Source organism: Homo sapiens, chromosome 6 (assembly GCF_000001405.40).
Source record: "Homo sapiens chromosome 6, GRCh38.p14 Primary Assembly".
Classification (NCBI taxonomy): domain Eukaryota; kingdom Metazoa; phylum Chordata; class Mammalia; order Primates; family Hominidae; genus Homo; species Homo sapiens.
The window spans coordinates 75,393,377-75,416,743 of record NC_000006.12 but is presented as its reverse complement, the minus strand read 5'-3'; the positions used below and the strand labels follow the sequence as shown (position 1 = coordinate 75,416,743).

The 23,367-nt window shown below is 38.1% G+C and overlaps 1 protein-coding gene, 1 long non-coding RNA gene and 1 other non-coding gene across 8 annotated transcripts in view; 2 read left to right on the top strand and 1 right to left on the bottom strand.

The window, feature by feature from the left end:
* FILIP1 (filamin A interacting protein 1) overlaps positions 1 to 23,367 on the top strand; it is a 201,942-nt gene that overhangs the window by 77,057 nt on the left and 101,518 nt on the right. For all 6 annotated transcript variants that reach the window (XM_005248715.6, NM_001300866.3, XM_005248713.5 and 3 more), the window contains one exon: positions 1,766 to 2,047. In XM_005248715.6, coding sequence (XP_005248772.1) covers positions 1,772 to 2,047 — 276 coding nt within the window. In that variant the 5' untranslated portion in view covers positions 1,766 to 1,771. The remainder of the gene's footprint in view (positions 1 to 1,765; positions 2,048 to 23,367) is intronic.
* Positions 1 to 23,367, bottom strand: part of LOC101928540 (uncharacterized) — a 75,715-nt gene that overhangs the window by 42,157 nt on the left and 10,191 nt on the right. Inside the window, exons 3-4 of the long non-coding RNA NR_125859.1 lie at positions 13,688 to 13,755; positions 1,548 to 1,624 (exon numbers count right to left, since the gene is read on the bottom strand). This is a non-coding gene — a long non-coding RNA (uncharacterized LOC101928540). The remainder of the gene's footprint in view (positions 1 to 1,547; positions 1,625 to 13,687; positions 13,756 to 23,367) is intronic.
* LOC124901509 (small nucleolar RNA U3) lies at positions 17,677 to 17,884 on the top strand. The gene has a single exon (XR_007059940.1). It is a non-coding gene; the product is annotated as a small nucleolar RNA U3 (small nucleolar RNA).

Here is a 23,367-nt window from a genome sequence, read left to right as displayed (position 1 = left end):
AGAAAATTATTTCAGATAAAAAGAATTCACATGTGGTATGAAGTCGTACAGAATCACAATTCAGTTAGGGAAGTCCATGTGTCTTAACTGTGAGCCATAACAGGTCATGAGTTAAATTTGAAACTCTTTATTCATCACTTCTTTTTTTTTTTTTTTTGGATTGGGGCTTTAGTCAGTCCATTCTGCCCACAAATAAGCTGTGATAAAATACAGTAGGTTTGTTCCAAAGTGCCCTGGCTTCCATTACAAAGAAACTTCTATTCTTTGTTGACTAGGGAAACCCAAAAGATACTCTAAAATTGGGAACTAATCATTGAGTGAACCAGAAAACAGGGTGCTAGCATCAAGAAATATTCCTTTGGTTTATATTGTTAAAAGCTGGGGTGCTGTAGAAAGTTCACACACACATAAAAGCGTCCATTTGCTTACGAGTTCAATTTTTAAAAAAACAGCATTAATGTAGATTTCAAGATTCATTGGAAGAATTGGATATTCACTATCTGAAAGGAAACATCACACTGTGTTAATTTTTGTGTTACAAACCTAATGTTTTTAAAAAATCTTTCCTTAGTTTCTTAAGTATGGTTGGGTTCATAAAGGAAATTTACTTTCATATAACAAAGTCCCTATATTTTATCTGGAATTAGTGATGAAAATCTTTTTGCTTAGCTGTTCATGGTAAGGGCTATTTATACTGTGAGTTTTTAAATAAGCCCATGAGCTAATCTACTATATTTAAGGGTTTAGGCAAAATTTGAAATACACCCCACAGGATATTAGAGCTCTCTTCACAGCACTTTGAGACCTAGCCTGTGAGTTCGGTGTGTTTGTTTGTAACATACCTGTTGGTAGAATTCTTTTGCTCAGAGACTGACAGAGAAACTGTAAAGCATTCCTCATGGGATGACTTGAATGTGCTTCTCATGGGACAAGTTAATATCTTAGCTGCTGCTTTGTCTTTTTTCCTTATTTTACCTCAAAATACTGTTTTAAGTTTTGATTTTGAAATTGATTCATTTTCTCCCAATTCTTTGTGCTCTTATTACTGTAAATGACATTAAAAGACCTGATTTTAAAATAGAGGCTATGGGAAAATAGAATCGCATATCACTAAAAATGACACCACCCTCCTCTTCCCTTTGCTTTTCCCTTTTCCTCTGTCCATTTTAAGCCCCCACCCTATGTGGGCTTTTTTTTTTTTTTTTTTTTTCCACACTGTGACATCCAACTGGCTCCTGGCAGGGTTTCAGGTTTGATTTTTCTGATAAATAAATAAACTTTTAATTTTATCTTAGAACAGTTTTTATTTATTTATTTTTATTTTATTTTAGAACAGTTTTTATTGATTTTTATTTTATTTCAGAACAGTTTTAGATTCCTAACATTATTACAAAGCTAATACGCATATGCCCTACACCCAGTTTCCTCTATAATTGACATCTCCATTAGGATAGTATAGTACGTTTGTTACAATCAATGAACCAATATTGATATATTATTATGGGGGCTATGTAACAGCAATATGACTTAGCACTATTGATACTGACCTTGATCATTTGGCTTGAGGGGTTTGTCAGGTTAAAATCTTACTTTCATTTTTTCTGAAGACCATCAAAGGGGTTTCCTGAAAATTTTAATGACATGTTAATTTGATTTTTCCTTATTGGCGATGTGGTAAAGCTGCTATAAGTTTCTAAGTATTTAGGCAAAAATAATTTTGATGGTGGTAAAGAACATCTTATCTTTTTTTATGTATGTGTTGTAGGTGGGAATGAGATCTCGAAACCAAGGTGGTGAAAGTGCATCTGATGGGCATATCTCCTGTCCCAAGCCCTCCATCATCGGCAATGCTGGTGAAAAAAGTCTCTCAGAAGATGCAAAAAAGAAGAAGAAATCAAATAGGAAGGAGGATGATGTCATGGCCTCAGGAACTGTCAAACGACACCTAAAAACATCTGGAGAATGTGAACGAAAAACTAAGAAATCCCTGGAGTTATCCAAAGAAGACCTCATCCAACTACTCAGTATAATGGAAGGGGAGTTGCAGGTAGAGTCAAACTTTCCCAACTGTTATTGTGTCTTTGGTTTCTAAGCTATAAAATAAGAGAATGTAAATCTGTTCCCCTCTCTGAGTAATGAACTTTATGGGGAAAGGAGAATGTTTCCCTTATTTCTAAATCCCTAGTGCCTGGCACAAGTTTGCACTAAATAAATATTTGTTGAATGAATGCTAAATGAAAAAGTGCTGATTCCAACTTCAAACTTCTCTAGAAGCAGAAAATTTCTTCATTATATGATTTTGGTGGTGATTTAATACAGATCCTTTCGGTCAGTAGGTAATCAATTAGGTTATCTAATTTAGACATTGACTGTGACTGAAAAATGTAGAAATGCAGTGATTATTAAAATGGAGAGTTCAGGTCAATTGCTAATTTTGCTTTTTTCTAGGAGGTAGAGTGAAAGAGAGAAGGAGAGATAGAGGTAAATAAGGCTTTGTTGAAACCAGCCTTATTGCCCAGTCTTTTCTCTCTTTTTTTAACTTTCAGTCTCAATATTCTACAACATCATAGGAATTGAGATGCACACAAATAAGCAGAGCATTGCATTCATTATGAAGAACCTAATAGTTTCCTAAGCATTTTCACATCCACTATCTCGTATGATCACAATAAAAATGTGGGTATCATCTGTATTTTATAAATGAAGAATCTGAGGCCCAGAAGGATTGAAGGTTTGTCCGGATCTCATCTCAGGCTTCCTGATTCTTCGTCCTATGCTCTTTCCTCTGCCCACCCCCACCAATCTTATTTAGTTGCCATGAGCCATGTCCCTCCCTCCCATTAAATCTATGTTTCTAGGGACCCAGGAGGCAGGCAGGAAGTGAGGATTCTTCTGAGTTTCTGAGCCCTGAACAATTATATTTCTGGAAGTAGAGGAACAATACTTTTTTTTTTTTTTTCCTGGAGAAGATGACTTAAAGAGTGGAGCTACTGTTTTCATTTTTGTTTTTATTAGTTTCTTAGCTTGCATGAGCCTTTGAAGGAATACTATTAGGTTGGTGCAAAAATAATTACTTTAACAATTGCATGAAATAAAATCCTTGTTGGCTTATGGGTGCTGTTAGCTTTAGTGAGGTAATTGGCAACCTACTCTAAACTAGGGTGGGTCACTCTGTTCCTGTTATCATCTGTGTGTGCATACAGATAAGGAAATCCCTGGGGTAAAGAAAAACAAACAACATACAAAACTCAAGTTTAAACAAACAAACATGATTGAGCTTACCATTTACAGACTGAGAAAAATCACATTGGCATTTCACAGCAAAAGATAAAATTTTCTAGAGCAGCCACTGTTACTAAAAATAGCTTCACCACTCCCAGAAATGTGGTTAGTGTTTTTGTCTATTAACATTGGTTGTGTACAGAGGCAGAATTACTTTACCTTTTAAGCTGCCCCCAGCCGAAAGCTATTGACCTGAGTGAAAGGTACAATTTTTGCCTTAGAAACCTTTACAAAACTACATCATTAGCTCACTTTTCTCCATCCATAAAGGCTCTTGGGAAGTCCGTGGCTCTTGCAAACTCTAATTTCTGCGTAATGCTATTACATCATGGTGAACTCTGGAAAGTATTTAAGATTCATGTGGTTTTTATGTTTATAGTGGTGCTAGATAAGGTTTCAGATCCTAGATATGCAAAATATAAACTCACACTTCTGAAATATTAAAGAAATTAGTCAGATGGCTCCAAAGAAATGCATTTTGCTTTCCATTAATCTTTATAAATACAATATACCTACATTACACAATAGATATATTCTTGAGCAGCTATCAATAAATAAAAAGTGCAAGACATCATTTATGTGGGAGGCAGTGAAGAGAAGGATAATGAAGGACCTGGTATTTTAAGGAATTCCCTGGTGAATTCATTTGCAAAGCAGATAATCTATTCCATATATATATGCACACACACATATACAAGTCCATATATATAAACATATGTCCTTGTAAATGCAGATTTAGCTATGTTAGATTTGTTTAAAATGAGAAAGCTCCTATATTTAGAACTATAGATATATATTCTTGTAGTAGTAGACACTTGTCTTCTAGTAGCATTGTCATATGGGAGGTGTTGTAGCTAAGAGTGGGAGGGAGTTAACATTAGCAAATGTGGGTGGACTGGTAAAAATGTAGAAGTTATCAGCCATCATACTGAATGGGCAAAAGCTGGAAGCATTCCCTTTGAAAACCGGCACAAGACAAGGATGCCCTCTCTCACCACTCCTATTCAAGATAGTATTGGAAGTTCTGGCCAGGGCAATCAGGCAAGAGAAAGAAATAAAGTGTATTCAAATAAGAAGAGAGGAAGTCAAATTATCTCTGTGTGCAGATAACATGATTGTATATTTAGAAAACCCCATCGCCTCAGCCCAAAAACTCCTTAACCTGATAAGCAACATCAGCAAAGTCTCCGGATACAAAATCAATGTGCAAAAATCACAAGCATTTTGATACACCAATAATAGACAAACAGAGAGTCAAATCACAAGCAAACTCCCATTCACAATTGCTACAAAGAGAGTAAAATATCTAGAAATACAACTTACAAGGGATGTGAAGGACCTCTTCAAGGAGAACTACAAAACACTGCTCAAGGAAATAAGAGAGGACACAAACAAATGGAAAAACATTCCATGCTCATGGATAGGAAGAATCAATATCATGAAAATGGCCACACTGCCCAAAGTAATTTATAGATTCAATGCTGTTCCCATCAAGCTACCACTGACTTTCTCCACAGAATTAGAAAAAACTACTCTAAATTCCATATGGAACCAAAAAAGAGCCTGCATAGCCAAGACAATCCTAAGCAAAAAGAACAAAGCTGGAGGCATCATGCTACCTGACTTCAAACTATACTACAAGCCTACAGGAACCAAAACATCATGGTACCGGTACCAAAACAGATATCTAGACCAGAGAAACAGAACAGAGGCCTCAGAAATAGCACCACACATCTACAACTATCTGATCTTTGACAAACCTGACAAAAACAAGCAATGGGGAAAGGATTTCCTTTTTAATAAATGGTGTTGGGAAAACAGGCTAGCCATATGCAGAAAACTGAAACTGGACCCCTTCCTTACACCTTATACAAAAATTAACTCGATGGATTAAAGATTTAAACATAAGACCTAAAACCATAAAAGCCCTAGAAGAAAACCTAGGCAATACCATTCAGGACATAGGCATGGGCAAAGACTTCTTGACTAAAACACCAAAAGCAATGGCAACAAAAGCCAAAATTGACAAATGGGATCTAATTAAACTGAAGAGCTTCTGCACAGCAAAAGAAACTATCATCAGCATGAACAGGCAACCTACAGAATGGAAGAAAATTTTTGCAATCTATCCATCTCACAAAGGGCTAATATCCAGAATCTACAAGGAACTTAAACAAGTTTACAAGAAAAAAACAACCCCATCAAAAAGTGGGCAAAAGATATGAACAGACATTTTTCAAAAGAAGATATTTATGTGGCCAACAAACATATGATAAATAGCTCATCATCACTGGTCATTTGACAAATGCAAATCGAAACCACAGTGAGATACCATCTCACGCTAGTTAGAATGGTGATCATTAAAATGCCAGGAAACAACAGATGCTGGAGAGGATGTAGAGAAATAGGAAAGCTCTTACACTGTTGGTGGGAGTGTAAATTAGTTCAACCAATGTGGAAGACAGTGTGGAGATTCCTCAAGGATCTAGAACCAGAAGTACCATTTGACCCAGCAATCCCATTACTGGGTATATACCCAAAGGATCATAAATCATTCTACTGTAAAGACACATGCACACATATGTTTATTGCAGCACTATTCACAATAGCAAAAAATGGAACCAACAAAAATAGCAAACTTGGAACCAACCCAAATGCCATCAATGTTAGACTGGATAAAGAAAATGTGGCACATATACACCATGGAATACTATGCAGCCATAAAAAAGAATGAGTTCATATCCTTTGCAGGGACATGGATGAAGCTGGAAACCATCATTCTCAGCAAACTAACACAGGAACAGACAACCGAACACCACATGTTCTCACTCATAAGTGAGAGTTGAACAATGAAAACATATGGGCACAGCGAGGGGAACATCACACACTGGGGCCTGTCAGAGGTTGCAGGGCAAGGGAATGGATAGCATTAGGAGAAATACCTAATGTAGATGAAGGGTTGATGGGTGCAGGAAGCCACCATGGCACATGTATACCTATGTAACAAACCCGCATGTTCTGCAAATATATCCCAGAACTTAAAGTATAATAATAAAAAAAAAAAATCTCAAAAAAAATGTGGAAGTTATGTGCTAGGTTTGCCGGGCTAGAGATAAGAAAAAAAAAATCTTTCTGAATGGCTGGTGCTGAGAGGAGAAGCAGGACTATGCCTTATGAGATAAGTTACTCTCAGCTTAGACCTATGTGTCATCTGGCTTGATATGTATGGAGCATTTAGTGAGTTGTCTCCCAGATCTCCAAAGACCACCTATTGCTCTCTCTTTATGGGGTGACTGTATATGAGTCAGATGCCCTTACTCTGGAGGTGGTGTTCTGAGGTTATAATTGCCTGATGGGTACTTCCTGCCTGCTACACAGACAAAATCAACTCACTGATACTGTGGTATTGCAGGAGAAAAATGGTTTAACACAAGGCTGGCCAAGTGGAAAGATTGGAGTTATTACTCAAGTCAGTCTCCCTGAGAATTCAGGGGCTAAGGTCTTATGGATAATTTGGTGGGCAAGGGGATAGGGAATAGGTGCTGCTGATTGGTTGGGGATGGTATTATAGGGGTGTGGAAAACAGTTCTTGTGAGCTGAGTCCATTTCTGGGTGGGGGCCATAGGACTGGTTGAGTCAGGAGTCATGGGTCCAGGTGGGGTCAGTCAGTTGCCAGAATGCAAAAATCTGAAAAACATCTCAAAACACCAATCTTAAGTTCTACAATAGTGGTGTTATCTATAGGAGCAATTGGAGAAGTCACAGATCTTGTGATCTCTGGCCACATGGTTCCTGAGCAGTAAGGCATTATAGAAACTATGCCTACATTTTAGCAGAATTCAGTCCCCTCCCATAATCCTAGTTTCGTGGTTTTTCATTAGTTATAGGTCCCTGAGCAAGGAAGGGGTTAGTTTTAGGAGGGATTATTATCATCCTTGCTTCCAAGTTAAACTATAAACTAAATTCTTCCCGTGGTTAGTTTGGCCTATACCCAGGAGTGAGTGAGGTCAGCCTGCTTGTGAGGCTAGAAGCAAGATAGAGTCAGCCATGCTAGAGTCCTCTCACTGTCATAATCTTTGCAAAGGAGGTTTCAAGGTTCTATAAAATATTAGAACTCTAAGGCGCCTTTGAAGTGTCTTATCTACCTCACCTCCTTTATATTACAAATGTGAAACTCACATATGAGTTTTGTGACTTGCCCAAAGTCGCACAGCAATGTAGAGTTCTAAATCCAAATTTCCTATCCTTCTGTTGAATGTCCTTCCCATTATATCACTTACATTCTATGGAGGTTCAAGGGAAGTTGGGCTCCAGGACCTTTCATTTATTCTTGGCCTCCAGAATTTATTTAAAGTAGACTCACATTGTAAACTCACAGGCTGAAGCTATTTTGTGAAAAGATGAAACTTTTTAGGTAAGAGAAATTTAAGGTTTTTTTTACACCAGGGAGACAAAATGGGATCTGAGCCTCAATGTTTGGTACAATCTAGATGATGAGTAAAATGGCAGCAGGCAGGGATGCCACAGGGCCATGTGAGCTGGGCACTGCACAATTCTGGGGGGGCTTCATATTCACTACTCTAAGGATGGTGTCTTCTGGAGTTGTGTAACAGTGCAGGCTTTGGGGGGATCACATCTCCAGCTAGAAAGAAATAGGGTGACATACAAAGAAAATAGCTTATAGTTTTGGGAGATAGGATAAGATCAAGTCTGCCCATAGTAGGTATACCTTAAAAGTGACTTGGGGAAAAGGAGGAGATGGAGGTTCCTTCAGGCTTGTCATGCCAATTTTCTCCTTTACAGACTCCTTTTTGATCTCTCTCATTCTCTCCAACTCTATATCCAACATTTTGGACGCTGTAGACAATTCTATGTGTTTTCTGGTACACCAGTGCCCTGCCACTTTTGGTAACTGTTAAGTGATCTATGGAAAATTGTTGAGCCAATATTATAAACAACATGACCTTTATTGTAGGCCTTGGCTCTTTGCAAAATATGCACATTTGCTGTTTTGTTTGCCAGTCCAGGTATCCCGTGAACTCCTGAAGTGCACCTTTAATGGATATGTATTAGAAATGGAGTTGCATCTACTAGAGATTTTGCATTTTAGGGAGTCTTGTCTAGAACCAGTAATGTGACCCTTGTCTTGAAGAGGGACATTTTTCAGACTTTTCAAGCCACACCTCTGCAGATGCAGGCCTGTCATCTCAGCACAATGACTGGCCCGCATGGCCTGCGTGAAGTAGCTGGGATGGTTTCCATTATTATACCTCTGTCAGTGACTGCTTCCAATACCAATTACTTTCTAATAAATTGGAACATTCTTATTCTCTAGGTGAAAAACCAGTTACATATTTCCCAGTTTAAACTGAAAGTAATAAAATAGTACCCCGGCCCATCATTTGGGCACCATGATTAATTTCCCCTTGTATTAGTCCCAAAATAGCACTTTTAAAAAGTGAGTAAACTTGGCTGTACTAAAAATGACAGAAGTTTGAAAGAAATGGTACTCATATCAAAAAGCCATAACATAGAATATCTGGCAAAAGGACATTTGTGCAGAATGATTCAAGAACAAGGGACAAACTAATTCTTTTTTCTTGATGCAAAAAAATAGCCATTTTATATAATAAATTCCCTTGATATTTTTACTTGGCTACATTTTAGCAAAAAACGATCTAAATTTGGTTTCATTCTTTTCCCTTTTGTTGTTATAGTTAGCTCCCTTCTGCCTGTGTATAAGGAGGCACAGAGTAAACTAGATTACACAGCTGGATAGTGCACCACTATTCCATTTGGCGTTGGTATTTTCCAGGCTAAGTCAGAGACAAAGTCATTGACACATTGACTCTTGACATTGAGAGTCAAGAATGACTCTCTCTTCATTCTGAATGAGTGGCAGAAGAGGTGTTGTATACTTCAAAAATAATTTATAAGGTCGGGCGCGGTGGCTCACGCCTGTAATCCCAGCACTATGGGAGGCCGAGGTGGGCGGATCACAAGGTCAGGAGATGGAGACCATCCTGGCTAACATGGTGAAACCCCGTCTCTACTAAAAATACAAAAAAATTAGCTGGGTGTGGTGGCAGGTGCCTGTAGTCCCAGCTACTTGGGAGGCTGAGGCAGGATAATGGCATGAACCCGGGAGGCAGAGCTTGCAGTAAGCCGAGATTGTGCCACTGCACTCCAGCCTGGGCAACAGAGTGAGACTCCGTCTCAAAAAAAAAATAAAAAATTTATAAAATAGATAATTCGTCTGTGGATTGTTAGAAACTTCTTCTATTCTGTAACTTCTTAACTCATAAACACATTCTTTTGGGGTTCCCAGCCATTTTTAAAAATATTGCTCATTAGTTTCTCTTTTCCTCTTCATCACCTACTATAGGTGAGCCTCCTATATGTGCTTCTTTCTTACCAAGAGAGTTCATCCATTCTTTGGGCTTTAATTAATAAATAATTAATTCAAAATGGATTGATCTTACAATATTTAAGAAACATTGCTGATGCCAGGTGCGGTGGCTCACACCTGTAATCCCAACACTTTGGGAGGCTGAGGTGGGTGGATCACGAAGTCAGGAGTTCGGGACCAGCCTGACCAACATGGTGAAACCCTGTCTCTACTAAAAATACAAAAATTAGCTGGATGTGGTGGTGTGCACCTGTAATCCCAGCTACTCAGGAGGCTGAGGCAGGACAATCACTTCAACCTGGGAGGCGGAGGTTGCAGTGAGCCGAGGTTGCGCCACTACACTCCTGCCTGGGTGACAGAACAAGACTCCGTCTGAAAAAAAAAAAAAAAAGAAACATTGCTATTCGAGAGATTTGAGGAATGCAAAGACACATAATCATAATACTTGTATTTGATGGGCTCCTACTATGTGTCAAGTATGGTTTTAGGCACTAGATATTACAACAATCATGAAGAAAGAGCTCATGACTTAGGATAGATGAATAGATGAGAATATACAGGAATGAGTATTGTATTGGGTAATTGCAATATAAATTACAGGAATACAAAGGAGGGAAAGATTATGAAAATATGGGAGCTTCACTAAAAATTTGGACTTTGAAGAATTGGTGGGTTTTGTGCAGATAGAGATGAGCATAGGGGCCAACATGAACAGAATCAGAGTGGGTGAGAAAGTCTGGGCCATGTTCATTGGTGAATAATCTGGCTTTAGTGAAGTAGTATTTTGTGGAGGTAAAACGACACCTCCATTTACAGACTACAAATAAGAGGTCCTCCTTTCCCACAAAATAGTCTGAAGGTGTGAGGATTCCAGGGGAGTAGAGCGATGTAGAAGTCAGGGGAGTAAAGGTGAAAGTGTATCAAGAAGAGAGGTTCAGTTAGTCAAATCAGCAGAAAGGCCCCGTCAGACAGGACTAAAGGGCATTCTTTGGGTTTGTTAATTTTAATTTCATTGGGAACATTTGTCAGAGCAGTTTTAGTGAGGTTAAGCCCATTTTCAGTGGGTTGAGAAGTTGTTAGATATGAGTTCTAAATTTCTTTTCAGAGAATCAATATGTCAGTATGTTCAATTCTTTGCCTTCTACTTTTAAACTTAACTTCCTTGTAAAGCAAGCTTTTTCGATTATCTGCTCCACCCTGTCTCATTCCGATTACCTACTCCACCCCGACTCATTCCGATTGTCTGCTCTGTCATTACCATTTTTCCCACCAAACCACTCACCCCTGTCAGTCCTTTAAATTAGCCAATCAGAATTAGTTTAGCCTGTGCAGTCTAACCCTAGCCAATAGGGGAACGACACAGCAGCAGGGGCCATGTGCGTCAGGGATAAGAAGCCCTTCCCCTCCCTTGTCAAGTGCACTCACCATTGCTCTATCTGTAAGGGCACACCCTTCTATAGAAGTAACTTGCCTTGCTGAGAATTAAAAAGAAAATTTTATATTCGAGTGCTATTTCTTTTGCAGCACGGAAACTTTATTTATAACAAAGTGAAGGGAAGTTAAGTAAATAATTTAGAAAAACTTTATGTTTTTTTTTCTTTTTTCTTTTTTGGTAATAATTAGATTTTCTGGGTTTTTTGTTTGTTTGTTTGTTGTTGTTGTTGTTTTACATAGCCAGAGAAGCTAATTTTCCCCCTTCTTTAGCTTAGTGGAAATTAATTGTGTGGCACAGAGTAGGCCTTTAGGCCTACATTTGTTGGCTTCCTGATTTGAAATTACATGTTGCTTTTCTCTACTTTGAAGCTTTAAGTGAAACATGGGATTTTTAAAAAGTAAAAGACCAAAACAGTGTGACTTGAATGCCAAGTCCTATGGGGAAATATGATAGAATCAAAAAGGTTTGGTAGTTGACTTTATTAGTGTTGACTCTGGGCCTCAGTTTACTCCCCATGTGTTCTAATGGGGACATTTCCTATGTTCTGGGGTTGTTGTCATTACTAAGCTTAGCCAGTATAGATGTTATTTGGAAAAGTTTGAATGAGAAAGGCATAGAAAGAAGACAGTAGCTAGAGGGAAACTCAGGTCAACTGAGGGAAAGACACTTTACTGTGTTTACAGGTTAAGAGGTTGCAGGACAAGAAAAAAGCAGAGTCAAGGATGTAGAAAAGAGAAAGAATTTTTGATGACAGCATCTTGGAGGATATAGGAAGTGGTGAATCAAAAGTATGATTTTGGGTTGAACTTGGTTTTGGTCTTGAAAAGGAAGGAGACCCTTCCTCTGTGATGGAAGGAGGAAAGATGAGTGGGGCTAACATTTGCAGCTGAGGGGCGGGCAGTTGAGGTAGATCCCCCTAAAGCCTCAGCTTTCTCATCAAGGAACAAAGTTATGGTCTGCTGAAAGTGAGTGGTGGTCCTGAGGATGATTATGTACATGCTGAATCGTTGCAGAGGGGAATGCTAAAGAAAGGTGATTATGTACAAATACAAACACTAATGGGTGAAATTTAGGATTCAGCAGGGAGAGACCATGCATTTGCAGTGGCAGCAGTCTGTTTAGAAGCCTGCGTGTAAAGGAGGATACATATTTTATAGCACTGGATCTAGGGTTGCAGTTTCCAAGTGGGTGCAGTGAAAGGACAATAGTATAAGAAAGTAGAATGTGTTGATGAGACGGTGCCCAGCAGGAAGAGATCTTGGGAGAAGTGGGCAGGCCAATGGCAGGACAGGCAAGAGAGGGCTGGAAAAACTGGAATTTGAGCTATTTGCATTTAGGGTTTCTGGTACGGCAGTGTTGTTTTGTTTTGTTTTGTTTTTGGGGACAATCTTGCTATATTGCTCAGGCCATGGGCAGTGGCAGTGGCATAATCAGCTCACTGCAGCCTCCAACTCCTGGGCTCAAGTGATCCCCCCACCTCAGCCTCTCAAGTGCCTAGGACTATAGATGCATGCTGTGTGGCACAGCTTTAACTATTACAGGGTCTTGGGTGCGGTCCTGGGAGTGGAAGTGAAAGCAATTGGAATTAATGAGGTCCAGAAATGGTGAAGTTAGGACATTGGCTAAATCTCCCATTAAAAGTTGAAACCTCCTAGGATTATGGCAGGATTTGGAGTGGAGTGCAAGTCTGTGTCATCTAACGAATATGAGCATTGGGGACTAGAAGGTCAGTAGATAACTGGATAACTGCTGCCAAACTACTTTTTCTGAAGTATTTCTCTGATCATTTTATCTGTTGCTTAGGAATTTAGAAGAGGTCCCTACACCTTATCAGATAGAAGTCTAAATTGCTTAGACTGGTCTGAAAAATCTCCCTCTTAGCTATGAAATCTCATCTTTAGAGCTACTTAACATGACCATTCCTATCTAATCAGGCAGTCTCTACATTTTTTCCCCATACTCACATACAATCTTAAAATACTTGCAAGACGTAAATTGGGGCTCTCAAGGAAATTCAGGATATGTGTTTATTTTTGTCCTATCCCATACTTTCCTCCTGTACCAGTCAATATTTCTTTTTCTTTTTCTTTTTTTTTTTTTTTTGTGGGACAGAGTCTTGCTTTGTTGCCCAGGCTGGAGCACAGTGACATGCACAGCTCACTGCAGCCTCAATCTCCTGAACTCAAGGGATCCTCTTGCCTCAGCCCCTTATGTAGCTGGGACTGTAGGCATGCACCACCACACTTGGCTAATTTTTTTGAATTTTTGTGGAGATGGGGTCTCACGATGTTGCCTAGGCTGGTCTTGAACTCCTGAGTTCAAATAACCCTCCCATCTCAGCCTCCCAAAGTGCTAGGATTATAGGCATGAACAACTACACTTGGCCCTATTCAATATTTCTTTAGGGGCCACTGAAGGCTCACTTCCTCTGTGAAGCATTTCCTAATGACTTGCTCCCCAATGCTTATCTTTCTCCTGCCATGAAATCCTACATTGATCCTTCATGAAATGAACCATAGCACTTAATACACCCACATTCCCTAAGTATTTTATGTACTTACACCTTGTTGCCCAAAAAAACTTCTGAGAGAAGCTGTGTCTTCTGCATCTTTCACGTGCCTCATTATATCTAGAAAAGGGTTAGGCATATCATTGTTACTCTATTAGTAACTGGTGATTAATCTTGAAATGCTCTAATATTTATACACCCTATGAGACAGTCATAAGATTAATATTTTTAACATCTGCAAAACACTGAATTATACAGGAAAAGTATAAGTATCATAATATATAATGTTAATGAATTAACAGTAATGGTCATAAATATTTACAATGATATTACCACTACAATACTATGATTCTACTTTTCTGTCATTTTTAACAAGAGATGTCATAACTCCATTGGGAATGGTGATAATCAGTTCAGATGGAATTACTTGTGCAACCAAGAACAATAGGCTTATCCTTCAGGGGTACCATTTATCACTTTTTTCTTTAAAGATGGCTTTTCTTTTTCTAAATGAGTTCCATTTGTCACATGGGAAGGCCTCCAGTAGAGTCCCTGTGCTTCTGAAGAATGAGGCTTTTAGTTACTCTCTATGGCTTTTTAAATTGATGACTCACCTGCACTTAATATGCTCCATTTTTAGAATCTCAGGCTGAGGTCACCCTGAGCGAGGCTGCCCAGTGAAACCTCACACCATCAAAATGGTCAGCGTGCTGAGAATGGCATGTCTTTGCTAAGTTTAGGAGGCAACAGAGAGACAGGTTGCTTTCTGATTAAAATCAGAACCAGATCTGATTCTTTGCTGAATACGATGCTTCAGAATCTCATGTGTCCAGTAGTATTGTTCATATTTTGGCAAAGAGCTTTGTTGTCTGATTTTCATTGTTTCAGGCAGAATACTTTTAGGACTCCTAATAGAATCAGAAAGTTGGCTTTCCTGCAGTGAGAATAATGTCCGCATTGGTGTTGTAGGGGAGAACTTTAGTTTTATTGAGAAATGTAAAAAAAGACATATTAATAAAGAAAATCTCTCATAAATCCTTTTATTATTTTACAGGAATCTGGCCATGGGAAAATACCACATAAGGGTAATATGTGAAAGATGGAGATTTCCCCCTAAATGGCTGCAGCCTACATTTTCCTCAGTGAAAATGGTCTCCATTTAGTAAACTAAATTATATATAAATATTACAACTTACCTGTACAAATATTTCCCAATTATTTGGGGATATGCTCTTTTTACATGGAGCATTTTCAAGTAAAATTAGTTTGTACAGATAACTGGTATGAGAAATGTATGTTAAGTGGGGTAGGACTTGGGGCATGATGAATTTGTGATTCCAGAAGACTTCCAGGAGAGATATTATGTAGAACACTGCCAAATTTGAAGCTTGGGAGAGATAAGGTCTAGACCTGTGCTGTACAATAGGACTTTATTTGAAGAAGGAAATGTTCTATATATGCCTTGTCCTGTAGGGTAGCCATTAGACACATGTGGTTTGCAAACTCTTGAAATGTAGCTAATAAGACTGAGGAACTAAATTTTAAATTTTATTTAATGTTAATTAAATTTAAGTCGCCACTTGTGGCTCGTGGCTACTGTATTGACCAGAATGGATATAGAAAAACAAACAAGGTACTAATCTGAGGAGACCATGGATGAAGCAAAGGGATAAGAGAATAGAAGGAAAAATTAACACCAAGGAGATTCTCTTAGAAAATATCTATGGTTAAGGGTGGTAAGAGAGAAAAGACCTGGCCAAAGAAGAAAACAAGACATGGTTAAAGAGAAAGGAAGGCGATCAGAATGAAGATGTTTCATGGTTGCAAGGGAAGGAGAGAATTTCAGGAAGACATAGTTCTCAATGCTGCTGCAAAGCTGGAGAATGAAAACTGACAATAGGCTATTTACTGAGCCGGCATTTAGAAGGTGTGTTTTCCAAGGAATGGTGAGGGTTGATACCAGACTACTGGTGTCCACAAGTGCTTGGGTAAACTTCACTTTTGACAAGTTTGTGGATAGATGGCAGGGCTATATCTAAGGAAATAGTAGGGGTGGGGAAAGGCTTTTTGTTTTGTTCTGATTTTTTTTTTTAAAAAGGACACTTAAACGCTTTATAGATGTTAAGTACAAACTTCTTTCATAATTTCCAGTCCTATCCTTGCTCTCTTTGTCTTCCACAGATGCTTTGATGTAGAAGTATTTTACCTATAAGATTGAGATCTTCTCAACTTCTTTCCACAACAAAAATACTCTGTTCATTGCCTCAACTTTCTTTACTTCCCCTTTCACTAAAAGTAAAGTGTCTCTTTTTGTCAAAGCTACTTCTGTTGACTTGATCCTACTGCCTTCCCATACTAACATATCTCCTACCCTTCCCTCCCCCATCCCTGAATCTCCCATGGCCTTTAGCACCAGACTGTTGGGGGGCCTGGAAACTTTCCAAATTAAGGGAGCTAGATTGATCAAAGCTCCTGCGGTTCTCTAGGCATGGAATTATTATCAGAAAGGTCCCTACCCTCTAGGGAATATAGACATGAAATATTTGGGTCACCTTTTTCTAACCTTCTCCTGACTGTATACATGCTCTTCTTTCCTCCCTCCATTCTATTCAGGTACCTATAGCCTCACTTAGGTAAACTCATCTCCATCTTTTTCTAAATTGACTATTTTTAACAAGACTTGTACTTGTCCATGTTTGTCTTTTAAGGAACTATTTTAAGTTAACAACTTCTTGAGAATAGACAGTGTCTATAAAGCACTTTGATAGGTGCTTTTTGAAAATTACTTTGTAGTTGCAATTGGCAAGTATAAACTGGGTTTTCTTTTTTAAATAAAGGGCATATTTCCAGTTCAATTTTTTTCTAAAGTATTGCATGTTAAATGCAAAGGGTTGGCTTTGGTGGAACCTTCAGCATAGCGACCAAGAGTGAGGCTGTTCCAAGGAAACAGGAAACAGGTCACGATGAACACTCTGGATTTGTTTTCTACCTGTCACAGTGCCTAACGCCTGCATCACTTTACCTATTTTTTCCACAGATGTGCCAGTATTAGTGGCAGAGCTGTCTCTCAGCCAGGAACCAGATGGGTTCCTGCTCTGAGAACACCGTCATCTTAATGTCCTGATTGCTGGGTGAAATGATAGGATGCCTGGAATTTCCTTTAAAAGTCTCCAACCCCTCCTTTTCAAAAAAAGCATATGAAGAGATAGATGGTGCATTATACTCTTCAGGTTACTTTGATGTATGTTTAAAACTTTTTCATAATACAAAGATTAAAAACAAATAACATATGAAATGACAAAAGAAAAATAATATCTGTGTTGCCCATGTGACCTTCTTGTGCTGCCTAATATATGCCAGGATTTTCATTATTTTATTTAATAATCACAGTAACCCTAAAAGGTTAGATGAGGTCTGAACGGAAGCCCAGAGGGTTTAAGTAAACTCCGTTAAGGGCACCTCCTTGTAAGGTGTACCATGCTCTTCTGACCCCAAACCCAGTGACCTTTTGTTTCAGCATGAATCTCCAAAATCTGTGGCATCACGTTGTTTTCATATTTTGTTTTTAAATAATTCCACTTTATGCTAAAGACTGAAAGCTAATGATTTTAAATCACAAAAAAACCAACAAATGTATATTAATGGCCTATTGTATGGTAGTAAAATAATGTGCTGCTATTGTCTTAGCAGTCCAAGTTGAGGAGCAAACTCATGGGAAAAGAGAATCCGATTCCACAGATAAGAAGAGGAAACATCAATTGTTTGCCAACAGGATTTATTTTTTCCATACAAAAGAGCACATTTTAAACTTCACAAAAACTTGGAATATCTTTTCTGGTCTCTAAGTTACAACTTGAACTGATGTTTGGTTTCCCTTCAAAGGTCTGCTTTATCTCCTCAAGTGCATCTTGCTCTTTTTCATGCTTCTTAGTGGGAGTTTAACAACCTGAACAATAGAAATCAATTGTAATAAAGTCAATGGTGACACGGGCCAATGCCATTGTCAAACTGGTGATTGAAAAACATTGAAAAATAAAGTAAAATTCTATACTTTGAGGAGCCATTTTCATAGTTTGTTACTAGAGAAGTTTCTCTGAACATGGAGTGTACCAGAAAGCATGAGGAGGAAGTGCAGTGCTCTCGCCTTAGCTGTGAAATCAGTTGCTTCATTGTAACCACCATTTTTCATTGATGGCCCATCTTCTCTTCCTTTGGGAGAATAAGAAGGGGAAGATGCAGTCTGAGTGGTTAAAAAAAAGATAAATTTCGCTTTAAGTTAGGAGCATTTTGCTGGCTTACACTATTCATGTAAAACTTTTTAAAAGATAGTTATTAAATGTTTTTAAGAATAAAATGTAGACCAGCATGTCCAGACCATAGTGAATTTAAATTTTAATTGACCAAATTAGTGAAATGTCACTGTACCACATCACTTATTACTTTTAGCATCTTGACATTGTTTACAAGTGCCTAGTGCAACCTTTAACCTCTTTTTTATTCTCTTCTCTCTTCTGAACAGTTTCAGGGACACTCTTGAAAGTCACTGGGCTAATACTTATAGATACAGACGGCCCCTTCTTAGGTTCTTCCTTCCTCATGATCTTCCCTCCTTTCGGCCTCAGTGATCCTTAGGAGACCTCTACTAGTGTAGTGGTGATGGAGGGTTTGTTCTGAAGCTCCTGTGACCTGCAGTATCTTTAGGTTTGCAGGCAAGGTTACAAATGCAGACAAAGTAGTGGAATATGTTTCTTTGCAAAACTAACTGGCCCAGCTGGGATTTAAAACGACCTCATAATTACTATGTCAACCCGTCATAGACCAGCTTCAAAACAATCAAGGGCTCAAAGTGACTCATATCATATGGCTGTCAACAGAGAAATATTTTTTCCAAACTCTGTATTTAAGAGAGAAAGCAGGGTACTGATGAAAATTGTTGGAATTCTTTCACTGTGATAGTGCATAATCAAAAGAGGACATCACTTTGATGAAATAAGAACACTGTACCTTGAATCTTTTCAGTTAACATGTAATCCTATCTGTGGATATAGTCTTGTGCTTCAACAATGTATATATTTGTATTGGCAGGAAAGGACGTCTATGGACCTTGCCAAACAGCAGCCATTAATCTCTAGAACACTTACTCTGATGTTAAATATTTCTTCATCAAGAGCCTGAAAATAAACATGAAACAATGTGCACAAATTTTAGCAGTCTCTGGGCTGTCCCTTTGCCCTTCAAAAAATAGAAATAATGAAAGTACATTTGCAAGTCTATGGTTCTATGAGGATCAGCTCATTTATGAGGAAAATCAGCTATAAACCAAGATTTTGCATGTTCCTCAACAGATGAAGGAATCCGTCTCACAGGCTCAAAACACATATTTGCACCAATGAAAGTGAGTGATCCTTGAAGAGTGGAAGGAAAGGGATCTTAACATTACTGTTTTTGAACTTTAAATGGGTCTGCCCTGAGATGGGATGTTGTAATTCCTGCCAACTTGGAATTATATATATATATATATATGTATACGTGTGTGTGTGTGTGTGTGTGTGTGTGTGTGTGTGTGTGTGTCTTATATGTGTATATGTTATGTAAAAAAATCTGTATATATATATACACATATATATTTAATTAGCAAACTTTTTTAACCTGAAAACAATGTGTAAGATGAGTTGTGTTCTGAAGTAATCAAACTATGCATGCCTTTTTTTTCTTTAATGGAATGTAAATTCCTAGCTTTGAGTTTAGAAAGGATAAGCATGTGAGTGCTGATAAGATCAATGTTGCATACAGAGTGTGAGCCATATATGTAATCTTTGCAATATCTAACATGACTTATTATTTTTTTTAGAATTTTTTATATTTATTAAATAGGTACTTTATGTTGGGTACTGAATAAGTCTTTTATTTATTTATTTATTTTTAATCAAACTACTTTTTTTTATTATACTTTAAGTTTTAGGGTACATGTGCACAACGTGCAGGTTAGTTACATATGTATACATGTGCCATGTTGGTGTTCTGCACCCATCAACTAGTCAGTTAACATTAGGTATATCTCCTAATGCTATCCCTCCCCCCTCCCCCCACCCCACAATAGGCCCCGGTGTGTGATGTTTCCCTTCCTGTGTCCATGTGTTTTCGTTGCTCAATTCCCACCTATGAGTGAGAACGTAACATGACTTACTTATAGATGGTTTGGCATAACGTGTCAGCCTGAAGTGCCCAGTATACTGACTACAAAATACCTGAGCAAAGACCTTCTTTGAAAAGAATCTTACAAATCCTGACTGGGAGACACTAATAGGGTCACTGAAGAGTTGAGCATGGGAAGCTTTAAACACTGCACTTTCTCACTCCAGAACTAATTGTTTAAGAGACATAGGCTTCCCTTTGTAGCCTGTGAGACAGGACACAGGTGATTATTAAGATCCCATTCCCTCTTGAGTATCACTGCCTCATTGCAATTATCTTCACAGATACCACACTGTTGTCTACCTACAGCAGAGAGGAGATCAACAGGCTCGCCATTCTTATTTATTATCTACCATCACGAGATAGTGGATTCAACTAACAAGGGTATAATTGACAGGCAATTACGGAATGCCAGGCAATGGAGAGAATGTAAAAGAGTAAGCCACAGAGTCCCTGACCTCACATAGCTGGAGAGACATGATCTCCACTGCCACCGCTTTACTTCAGGCATCCTCACCACCGCTCACATGGTTTATTGCAACAGACTCTTAACTGGTATGCCCTTCCTGCAGTCTTGTCCCCCTTTGGCTAATTCCCCAGATCACAGCAAGAGTTAGCTTTTTAAAATACAAAACTGATCAAGTCTGTCTTCTGCTTGGGCTTTCATGGGCTGACCCCGGCTCACCACTGCTCACCACTTCAGCCTTATCTTTCACTACATCTCCTCAATTTATGATCCTGTCATACTGACCTGTCTGCAGTCCCTTGAATATTTCCCATCTTAAATAATGTTGGGAGCCTCTTTTTATTGGAGAGTATTCTTTTTCATTATGTGTTATGGAAATGATTTTAAAGAAAAGACACTAAGATTGTATGTGTTCCAGGTTGGCTGATGGGTATAGTGCATTTATTCTCTTCATTGATTTTTGTCCTACTTTATTTTTTTATGTTGTTTCCACATCCAAGTCAAGGTCATTAGGTAAAGAAGGCAACTCTCCATACAAACACCTACTGTTAAGCTAGTGCTTAAAAGCTTATTCAATTATTTGTCGTAAAATAACTTGCTTGCATATTTCATCAAGGACTCAGGGGAGAGAACTTCCGTTCTGTCCAGGTGTTCGGAAACTTTTATTTTTTGATAAAGTGTCACTACAATATCTTTTCCAAGGTAGAGTCTTATTGTAATCACATGCTCAGGAATCACGTTTTAATTATAAAACAAGACAAGTGTATGGATGGGACGATGCTCTAATTCAGTAGTAAACTTGTGTTCAAAAATTAGGCAAAACACCAAAATAGAATTCTAGGGGTAAAGTTTATATATTTAGAAATTTTTGGCCTGGTGTGGTGGCTCACACCTGTAATGCCAGCACTTTGGGAAGTCGAGGAGGATGGATCACTTGAGGTCAGGAGTTTGAGACCAGCCTGGCTGCATGGTGAAACCCTGTCTCTACTAAAAATACAAAATTAGCCGGGCATGGTTGCGGGTGCCTGTAATCCCAGTTACTCAGGAGGCTGAGGCAGGAGAATGGCTTGAACCCAGAAAGTGGAGGTTGCAGTGAGCCAAGATCGTGCCACTGCACTCCCACCTGGATGACAGAGCGAGACTCCGTCTCAGAAAAAAGAAAAAAAAATTATGTTAAAACTATTTTAGTTTAAATTTTGAATGGTTAATTCACACATATGGTTTAAAAGTTCCAGAAGGGTATAATATATGGAAGCATATACTATATTTTTTGTTTTTTACACAAATGAGAGCATATTATATATATATTGTACTGAAATCAGCCTTTTTCTGATATCAAATATGGCTTGGAAATTTTTCCCTATTAGTACACATAGAGATTTTACATTCATTTCAGTGACGTCAGAGTGTATATTTGGGTACATAGTGCAGTCTCCTGTTGCAGGACATTTAAGTTGTACCCAGTTTTTTGCTATCACAATCAATGCTCCATTAATATATTATACATATATATTATCACACATGTAGGAGTATTTCTCTTCATTAAATTCCCAGAATTGAAATTGCTGGGTCAAATGGTATATAAATTTGCGATAGATTTTGCAAAGTTGCCCTTCATAGGCCTGGTTTCTCACATTCCTGCCAACACAGTACATTATCAGTTGTTTTGCCAATTCAGTGCTGTAATTCCTTTGCCAATCTGATAGGTGAAATGGGTATTTTCCAGTAGTTTTAATTTACATTTCTCTTATGAGTAAGGTTGAACATCTTTTCAAATGTTGTTAGAGACATTTGTATTGCTTTTTCTGTGATTAGTCTGTTCTTATCTTTGCCTGTTTTTCCATTGAATTGTTGGTCTTTTATTGATTAATGAGAGCTTTTTGTATAACAAAGAAATTAGTTCTTTTTGATACAAGCTGTGAATCAAATATTTTTTCCTATCTCATTATTTTTATTTTGACTTCACTTTTGGCACTTTTTGTTATGCAGAATTTATTATTACTATTATTAGTCAGACATCAATTTTTGTTTTATGGCTTCTGATGTGGATTAAAATTAGAGAGGCCTTCCCACTCTTAGATTATACAAAATTTCTTTCAAATTTTCTTCTAGTACTTTTTTCCACCAGGTTTTCTTATTTAAATATTTAACCCATCTGAAATTCATCCTAAAGTGAACTACTTTACTTTTTTGTGGATGGCTGTTCATAAGAGTCAGGGTCTAGTCAGGAAAACAGGAAGTGCACTAGATATTTCAAACAGAAAGGAGTTAATAGGGATTTGGTTACACAGATGTTAGAAGCCTAAAAGAGTGAAAGGAGAATTCTGAAGTAACCAGAGATGGTAACTGCAAGAAGCAGCTATCACCTCTAGGGCTGAGGAAACAAAGGGAAGACATAAGATGACTAGTGCATAGGACTATAGAGGAGGAATCCCTCTGCAGAGGGCTTACTGCCCAGCCTCTGCTAGTACCTCTAAGGGAGCTTGATGAGGCTAGTTGTGGGAGGCCTGAAGAACCAAGAGCTGCAGCTAACTGCTACTACTGGAGCAACATTGTCAGAAACAGGACAAAGTAGAAAGGAAATTTTTCTCCCCATCCCACCTTTTAACATTCCTCTACTGACTCCAATTAGCAGAACCCAACAGAAAGCAGCTAGTACAGGAGCCTGGGAAATGTAATTTGCAGAATCTCAGGCTTAGTATCACAGAGTAGAATAGATATAAATGGTTTCGTAACTGAGAGATAATGAGTTAACAACCATTAATTGAACAAGCTATTTTACCTTATGATATGAAATGTCACTTTTATCCTATAATATTTGAATCTACTTCTGGGTTTTCTAGTTTACTCCAAAGATTTATCCAACTATTCCATGTTCCATGCTCTGGTACCATATTGTTTTAATTACTGTTGTAGCATAATATGTTTTTACATGTGGAAAGGCCAATCCTTTCTCATTATGCTTTTTCTGAATTTTCCCAAATATTCTTTTTTACTTTTTAAAAACTTGGCTTTTTACTTAAAAGATCTTTCAAGGAATTTTAAAAATAAGAGCGAATTTTAGGAAAATG